This window comes from Homo sapiens, chromosome 10 (genome assembly GCF_000001405.40).
Source record: "Homo sapiens chromosome 10, GRCh38.p14 Primary Assembly".
Classification (NCBI taxonomy): Eukaryota; Metazoa; Chordata; class Mammalia; order Primates; family Hominidae; genus Homo; species Homo sapiens.
The window spans coordinates 57,101,927-57,111,630 of record NC_000010.11 but is presented as its reverse complement, the minus strand read 5'-3'; the positions used below and the strand labels follow the sequence as shown (position 1 = coordinate 57,111,630).

The window sequence follows — 9,704 nt, the reverse complement described above, 5'->3', positions numbered from 1 at the left end:
TAGCTAAGGAATTTAGTCAGAAGATTGGCTCCAAAATCCAAGGTCTTTCCAATAAGTTAATAGTTATTTAACAGTAAATTTCCCTGGTACTCATTTGATGAGGTTGTGCTAAATAAATTGGATTCTATTCAAATGTGTGAGAAGAGAATGGTATTTTGTCTGATTTGCAATTCATCTGATCAATCATCTGAGTAAACAGCAAACTGATTAATACCTCTGAACAAGATAAATGAGTTTTACCTTCTTCCTATAATTTTCTATTTTATATTAAAAAGGACAATATGTAAGAAAATAATAAAAAGATATAAGGTAATTTTTCTCCCTCCAACTTTTAAAGAAATATAACTATGAAGTAATTATATAACTATATACTTACATATATATTTACATATTATATTATATTTGACTTTCAAGAAGTCACTGCTGTCCCCTTAATAATAGTAAAATATTATTTAAACAGTTGATCCCAATGCAAAAGGAAATGAGTGTCAGCATCTATTTTATAACTACTAATTTAAAATAGAAGTGGTAGGTGAGAGCTCTGATTATTTTGTTTATTAAACAAAAGAGCACTGCCCACCATTGGCTGGGTACATACAAGAAGGGAAGAACATTGATTAATTACAATACTAAATAAATATTTCTCTGAAAATATTTTATAAAGAGAGATAAAAAGAGAAAGATAGTTTATAACCCTAAATAAACTTAGGCACATTAGTTTGGGTAAAAACAAGTAAAATTATTTTAGAATCTGGTATTAGTTTTCTATTCTTGTGTTATAAATTACCATAAATTTAGCACTTTAAAACAACACTCAGTTATTGTCTCTCAATAATTGTTTCTTTTTTATTTTAATTCTTGTGGGTATACAGTATGTGCACATGAAATGTTTTCATATAGGTATGCAAAGGATAATGGATGCAATCATATAATGCATGCAATTCCATCATGGAGAATGGGGTGTCCAACCTCTCAAGAGTTTACCCTTTGTATTACAAACAATCCAATTATACTCTTTTAGTTATTTTTAAATGCAGAGTTAAATTATTATTGACTATAATCACTCTCTTTCTATTTTCTTTTGTACCTATTAACCATTCCCACTCTTCCCTCCAGACCCCACTCCCTTTCCCAGCCTCTGGTAACCATCCTTCTATTCTCTATCTCCATGAGTTCAATTATTTTAATTTTTTGTTACCGCAAATAAGTGAGAACATGTAGTGTTTGTCTTTTTGTGCCTGGCCTGTTTCACTTAACATGATGATCTCCAGTTCCATTCATGTTGTTGCGAATGACAGGATCTCATTCTGTTTTATGGCTGAAAAATATTCCACTGTGAATATGTACCATATTTTCTTTATCCATTCATCTGCTGATGGACACTTAGGTTGTTTCCAAATCTTGGCTATTGTGAACAGTGCTGCAGCAACAAAGATAGTGCAGATATCTGTTTGATGTACGGTGTTCCCTTCTTTTGGATATATACTCAGCACTGGGATTGCTGGATCATACGGTAGCTCTATTTTTAATTTTTTGAGGGATCTCCAAACTCTTCTTCATAGTGGCTGTGCTAACTTACATTCAACCAACAGTGTACAAAGTATCCCTTTTCTCCACATCTTTGTCAATATTTGTTATTGTCTATTTTTTGGATATAAGCCATTTTAACTGGGACGAGATGATCATTCTGGTTTTGATTTGCATTTTTCTGATGATCAACGATGTTGAGCACCTTTTCCTATGTCAATTTGCTATTTGTATGTATTCTTTTGAGAAATGTTGATTCTGATTTTTTGCCCATTTGTTAATCAGATTATTAGATTTTTTCCCATACAGTTGTTTGAACTCGTTATGTTTTCTAGTTATTCATCCCTCATTATATGGATAGTTTGCATATATTCTCTTCCATTCTGTGGGTTGTTGCTTCACTTTCCTGATTGTATCATTTGCTGTATAGAAAATTTATAACTTGATATGGTCCTATTTATCCATTTTTGCTTTGCTTGCTTGTGCTTGTTACTACTCAAGATATTTTTGCCTAGACCAATATCCTGAACAGTTTCCCCAATATTTTTGTAGTTGTTTTATAGTTTGATTTTTGATTTTATAGTTGCAATTTTAATTGATTTTTGTATATGGAGAGAGATAGGGGTTTAGTTTCATTCTTTTGCACATGGATATTCAATTTTCCCAGCAGCATTTATTAAGAAGACTGTCTTTTCCCCAGTGTATGTACTTGACAGCTTTGTTGAAAATGAGTTCACTCTAGGTGTGTGGATTTGTTTCTGGGTTCTCTATCCCGTTCCATTGGTCTATGTGTCTGTTTTTATGCCAGCACCATGTTGTTTTGATTACTACACCTCACCTCTGTAGTATAATTTGAAGTCAGGTAATGTAATTCCCCCTTTCAATAATAATAAAATAATCACAAAGGTGAAGGAGGAGCCAAGGCATGTCTTACATAGTGGTAGGCAAGAGAGCATTTGCAGGGCAACTGACCTTTACAAAACCATTGGATCTCATGAGATTTATTCACTATCACAAGAACAGCATGGGAAAATCCATCCCCATGGTTCAATTACCTCCCACTGGGTTCCTTTGATGACACATGGGGATTATGGGAGCCACAATTCAAGATGAGATTTGGGTAGGGACACAGCCAAACCATGTCAGGAACTCAGAACAGTTTAGCCCATGGTGGTGAGGTTTGTGGGAATTCAAGTTCAGACCACTGGGATCAGTGGTCTTCCTCTGGTCAGTGCTGGTTTAAATCCTCTCTCCATGGGTGGGCATCAATTGAGTTTGGTTCAGTTTTCTTTTCTGTGATAACAGGACAACACTGAGTTTAGTGCCTCACAATTGTGCTCTCTCTCCTCTAGTACACAGAAATGCTCTCCATACCTTGCCACTGCTGCTGGGAAGGAACAGGGGAGGAGTGACATTGAGATTCAAGACTATTTTTCCTACCTCTTCAGTGCCTCTTTCAGCCATATGAAGTTAAAACCAGGTAATGTGAGTGCTGATCTGATTTCTGATTCATTTGAAGGTGCTTTTTCTATGTGTAGATAGTTGTTAAATTGATATCTTTGGGGGGTGACAAGCAGTAAAGCCTTCTATTCTGCCATCTGGCTCTACTCCTGTCTCTCAATAATTGCTTATGGATTAGGAGCTGAGGCACAGCTTTGGTGGATCATTTCCTCAAAATCTTAAACAGTTATAATTAAGCTGTTGGTGAGAATTGTAGGGTCATGTAAGGCTCAGCATCCTCTCCCACACTCATAGGGGGTCCTATTAGTAGAATTCAGCTTCTTGCAGCTGTAGGACTGAGACCCTCAGTCTCCAGAGGCTGCCCCTCTGCACAGGCAGTTCACAACATGGCTGTTTGCTTTCATCCTTGAACCCTGCAGGAAAGTAATCTTTCAGTCTCTTTTAAGGGACTCCCCAGATTAGGTCAAACCAATGCAAAATAATCTGTGGTTGAATAACTAAAAGCCAACTAATATGGACCTTTATTGAATCTCCAAAATTTCTTCACCTTTGCAATGTAACTTAATCACAAGAGAGAAACACATCATTTTCACAGGTCTCACCCGCACTTAATTATGGGAGGGGATTATATATAAGGTGTATGCCATGGGTTATTTTGGGACCAGCTTAGAATTCTGTGCACAGACTGTTTTGCCATATACCAAAAGATTAGCCCAGAGTCATTTAAATTTTTTGGGGGGTGGATAGGGGGAATATCGGTGATGGAAAGAACTCACATGTAATAAAACAAATTGCTTTTATCTGATATTCTGGTCTTCAGGGCAGATTCTCTGTTCAGATGTTATGACAGCATTGATCTGGCTTTGACCTGTTCTAATTTCCTTTTATCACTGCCTTTAGTTTCTCTTTTTAAAAATGTATTTGCTTTTCATTTTTACCTTTAAAAATTGACATAAAATTGTATGTGACAAATGCATACAATTTTATGTCAATTTTTAAAAGTATGTCTAAGAGAAATCTAACTCCATGTTTATTGCAGCACTATTCACAATAGTCAAGATATGGAATAAACATGAGTCTACCAAAGGACAAATGGATAAAGAAACTGTGACATATATACACAATAGAGTTTCATTATAACCTCTCTCTCTTCCTTTTTTTTTTTTTTTGACAGGTCTCATTCTGTCATTGAGGCTGAAGTGCAGTAGCACAATCTCAGCTCACTGCAGCCTCTACCTTCAAGGTTCAAGCAATTCTTCCACCTCAGCTTCCTGAGTAGCTGGGACTACAGGTGTGCACCACCAGGCCTGGATAATATTCACATTTTTTTTTTAGAGACAGATGACATGGTTTGGATTTGTATCCCCATGAAAATCTCATGTTGAATTATAATCCCCAGTGTTGTAGGTAGAAACTGGTGGGAGGTAATTTGATTATGGGGGTGGATCCTTCATGAATGGGTCAGCACCATGCCCTTGGTGCTATTCTAGTGATAGTGTTCTCATGAGATCCGGTTGTTTAAAACTGTGTAGCACCTCCCCCCACTTCTTCATGCTTCTAACAGTGAGATGCACCTGCTCCCACTTTGCCTTCTGCTACGAGTAAAACTCCCTGAGGTCTCCCCAGAAGCAGAAGCTGCTATGGCTTCCTGTACAGCCTGTGGAATCATGAGCCAGTTGAACATCTTTTCTTTATAAATTACCCAGTCTCAGGTATTTCTTTATAGCAGTGTGAGAACGGACTAATAAATTGGGGTGTCAGCATTTTGCCCAGGTTGGTCTTGAACTCCTGAGCTCAAGAAATTTTCCCTCCTCAGCTTCCCAAAGTGCTGGAATTATAGGCATCTCCAGCCGTAACCTCTCTTGATTTTCCTCTTTTATGTCTGCCTCTTGCCTCTAGCAACCTTTCTCAGCCAAATCATTTACTCTTCTCTTACAGCGCTAAGGAGACATCATGTGACAGAACTGTGGTAGATAGTGTTTCTGGCCAATTAGACAAAACAATTCCCAAACCTGTGATTTCTTTACTTGTTTCCAGGGTAAGGGGTGGGAAAACACGTATTTATCTTCCCAGTTGCTTAGGCAGGTAGGACTAGCCATGTGATACAATTCTATTTAAGGACACTTGAAAGGAAGTTGGCTGAAAGGCTTTTGGAAAAGAATACCCTCTCTCTCTGATAAGCAGAAAAGTTTTCCCACCCTTTAAATTCCACTTCTACAGCCAGGCTTCTGGTTTTCTTCCTCTGATTGCAGTTCTGATACTGTAAATCTCTGTAAACAATTTGGGACCCTGGGGAGAAAAGTATGAAGGCACTTAGGGAACAACCATAACAGAGCACAAGGATGGAAAGGGACCAGGTCCTTCATGATACTGGTAGACAGCCAGACTCAAGCCAAATGCTTACACAGTTCTATTACTTGTAACATCTAGCCTTTATGGGGAATGGGTTTAGTTTCATCCAACAGAGAAATGAGCACCTAACATGGGGCTTTTAATCTTTCAATTTTAGGACATTCCTCACTCTTTGCACAGAAAATTACCCAAGAAACCTGAGTTTGTTGGTGTGAGATGCCAATGCAGTTTCACATTTTACCAGGAACTACTCTTTGCTTCCATCCTGCAAGCTCAGGCCCCCTAGTCTGGGCCACAAAACAGTTTCATATTATAGAAGTTTTGTCTCTGGGACATGTTATTTTTCAATCTTAACTGTCTCACCAGACTTGTCAGTATATGTCTAAGTGTTTAGCATAGAGTTTTAAGTTCTTTCTCTTGAAATCATATGTCCCAAGTGAATGGTGCCATGTGATTATATGCCTATTGATTTTCCTGATGATGTTTGATAATGAATGAGGCTATTTTCTGTTTAGAATATAATTTTTTGGCAATATTAACAAATGGCATATGTCATATTTTCAAAGTAATTGCCCCACAAAGATAAGCATTTATAATATTTTACTCACTATTTTCCTTGGCTGACATCTAATTGACTAGGAAAAAAAACATTTTTTGCCTTCATTTACAAGTAGATTGTTTTCTAAAACGAGTGCTTGCATTGCCAGAGCCTTAAATTAAATAGGGTAATATAGTCCAAACATTTAAAAGATACCCACCAAACATGTAGTTAGTGGTCAACATGATCTTTTTAACATTGTCTGATCAAAACAGAAATAAGTAGTCCAAATTACTAAGAAAAAATGAGAGAATTGTCTTATAATTTTATTATATGAAAAAATCGATTAAGGTATCCGAAACCTAGCAATCCCAATAATAGAAAAGTAGCATCAGGAGAGGGCATTATATTTTTCAATTTTGTGGAATTTAGGATATGTAATTGCCGTATATTTCTTTGAAAGCTGCATTTACAAATTACATTCCTCCGGTTTTCTTCCCAAATAATTTTTGACATTCTCTTTTGGTCTATGTGGAAAGATTGGTCTTGAACTATCACCTTTTTGAGGAGAGAATTCTTTGAAGTATTTCAGACTATCCTAAGAATGCATAGAGCAGTCTTTGGTACTGAAGAAAATTACATGTCAAAACTTTTCAGAGACCATTATGAAAAGCAACTGAGGAAGGTGGCATATAACACTTAGGCATTATAAAATGTAATAATTCTAGAAAACTTAATTTACATATTTGAACAATGAACCTAAAGTTATCAGTATTTTTTTTAAATACGTGAGGAAATCCCTGCTTCCTGTATAGGCACTAAGACATAAAACCATATGAAAATAGCAAAAACATTCTTTAGAAATTAATTATAAAAAATAACCAGAAGAGGTATGGCTTATATTTGCTTATTTTAAAGCAAAACTTATAAGTTTACTGAATGCTAAATATGTAGGCAGTTTTGTTTAAAGCAGACAAGGTAGAAAGGAAACCAACACATTTGGGCAGTAACCTAGAGCTGTAGTTAAACCTGTGGATTTCAGACTAAAAGAAGGCTGTTTTTGAATCCTATCATTAGCTGTAGAGCCCTGGGCAAATTTCTAAACTTCTATAAATTTCAGTTGCCTTATCTGAGATACATAGAAATGATAATAGTGTTTCTTTCATAATGTCATTACAACGATTGAGCTTTAAGGCTTAGTATAGTTTCTGGTAAGTGCATATAATTCTGAGAGCACTTCTTTATGCCTGTATTATCTCATTTAAACTGCACAGTAACCTTGTGAAAAACCTTGTATTTAGAATACATTACCTGATGAAGAAAATATGTTTTCCCAATAGAGTCATAAATATGCTTCAGACAGTTTGTCATTAAGAAAATGCTCTAAATTTACTTTCCTTTATGATGTTGTGTCATTGGATTTCATCATTCATAAAATCTTTTTAGTGGACAACAAAAAATGTTTATTTAGTGTATGAAAGAAAAATAAAACTCCAGGACCCCAAATTCACTAAGCCAAAGGGAAAGTTAGGTTTTGGAACTGAGTCACACACAAAAAAATTACCTTCCTTTCGTTTTCAAACAGATAACTGTAATTTCACATGCTTACTTCATCTTATGTAACATGTAGATTTAATGGGCATAAGTTGTAGGGACATGGATGAAATTGGAAACCATCATTCTCAGTAAACTATCGCAAGAACAAAAAACCAAACACCGCATATTCTCACTCATAGGTGGGAATTGAACAATGAGATCACATGGACACAGGAAGGGGAATATCACACTCTGGGGACTGTGGTGGGGTCGGGGGACGGGGGAGGGATAGCATTGGGAGATATACCTAATGCTAGATGACACATTAGTGGGTGCAGCGCACCAGCATGGCACATGTATACATATGTAACTAACCTGCACAATGTGCACATGTACCCTAAAACTTAGAGTATAATAAAAAAAAAAAAGATGAATGCATAATTGACCATTCTCTTCACTCCTTTCTTTCTACATGTAAAATGTAGATTCACTGAGTGCTAATCAGAGTCTCACAAGAATGTAACCACTTACCTCATTGCCTACCCAGTCTCCCTTTATTTTTTTCTTCTCTCCTTCCCATCCTGCTCACTCTTTCCCTTTTAAATATTAAAGTTCTCAAAATCCTATCTGAAAAAAGCATAGGGTGCAGATCCTACTGGGACTTGTGCTTCTTTTTCCCAGGTGTCTCCTCAACTTCGTCAAATTAAACCTTTAAATTCAGATATACCTTAGTCAACTTTTGGTTTACATTTTTGTAGTCACAGAGGGATTCTTTAAATGGGGTTTGGCTCTTGGCCTGCAGCAACCCTCCTATTGGGGCTGGTACCAGCAGAAGCTCTTAATTACTCTGACTGATTGGATGACTTGCTGAGGACTAGTAGCATCCCCTTCCAGAGATCCTTAATCTCTGTATTTTGGCTGAGATCTTAGGTTTATTCTGCCACAGAACTCATTTTCAGGGAGTTTCCTGCTTCTGCGAAGGGGAGAGCAAATCGTCAACATAGGCTCTATTCTCTGGGTAAGGAGCTTGTTTGGGGTTTTGTTTTGTGATTTGGTAGCTTAAGATAAAGGTTTATTGTTAGTTTTCTACAACTTTTCCTCACACTCCAAGATCTCAACTATATGTAAATTGTGCTATCACTTTTTTTCTTTTCTTTTTTTTTGTTTGTTTGTTCCAGTTCATCTTCCATTATATTTGACCAATTTTGGTTCATCTTCTATTAGATTTGACTGAAACCCCTGCAGCTGCAAAAAGTCTAATTCCAGGTTGTTATACATTCTCCTTTTTTAAGTTCAGACACAACTGACAGGAATTAACATTGAAATAGAGATTATAAGACTGACAAAATTGAGTCTTCGTGGAAATAAGATACCAGATTTTAACCTCACTCTGTTATAGCATTGCATGACAGATAGCAGACCCTGAGGGAAATACAAATATTTTACCCCAAAATATATACTTTAACATATTCTGAAATGGCTCTGCAAAGTTTTCTCTTGTGGGAGAAATTTGCATCTGTAGAGAATTTCCATTTGCATCTGTAGAGAATTTCCATTAATTCAGCAAGACCTTACATTTCTAGGTCTTTCCCAGATCTAGGAGAGACTAAATGAGAGTCTGACACTTTTAAGATCTAAAAAGAGACATTTACCGTCTATTCTCTATGAAGGCTACTTCCTGGAAACTTTATTTACATAACAAAAACCTTGGCCTCCACAATCTCCCTTATCTTAGCTCAGGCATTTCTTTCTACTGACTTCAAGTCTTTAGACAAAGCTTATCTCTTTCAACCAATTGCCACTCAGAAAATCTTTGAATCCACCTATGACCTGTAAGCACTAACCTCCCTGCACCACCCCCTTCACCACTGCTTCAAGGTATCCTGCCTCTTTAGGCTGAACCAATGAACACCTTGCATGTATAGATTTATGATTTTGAAATATCCCTATTTCAGGATATTACATTCTAGGAAGGAAAGCAGATTAAATGCAAATAAATGAATAAACAAAATTATTTTATGTTCATTTGCTTATAAATTTGCTGTATAGTACATATTACACAAATACATATGTTTGATAATATGTTATAAGAATTTGTATTTGATAGAGGAAGACAAAGGCAGCAACAAAGACAGAGGAAAATTCTATATAAGAAAATAAATGAGGATAGAGTCACAGAAATTCAACTTCACACAGGCTGTCAGAAAATCCCTTTCTTAAGGTGTGACAATTAATACCTGATTTCAAGACTTCTAAAGATACAGTAATCAAGATGTGTGGTACTGAATAA

At 36.2% G+C, this 9,704-nt stretch overlaps 1 annotated feature.

Annotated features, from left to right (window-relative positions):
• Positions 8,858–9,431: an enhancer, noted in NCBI's record as "NANOG hESC enhancer chr10:58861960-58862533 (GRCh37/hg19 assembly coordinates)". NCBI's record gives its function as "activates a minimal SCP1, AML or CMV promoter by ChIP-STARR-seq in primed H9 embryonic stem cells {active_cell/tissue: H9 hESC(primed)}" and the evidence as "EXISTENCE:reporter gene assay evidence [ECO:0000049][PMID:30033119]".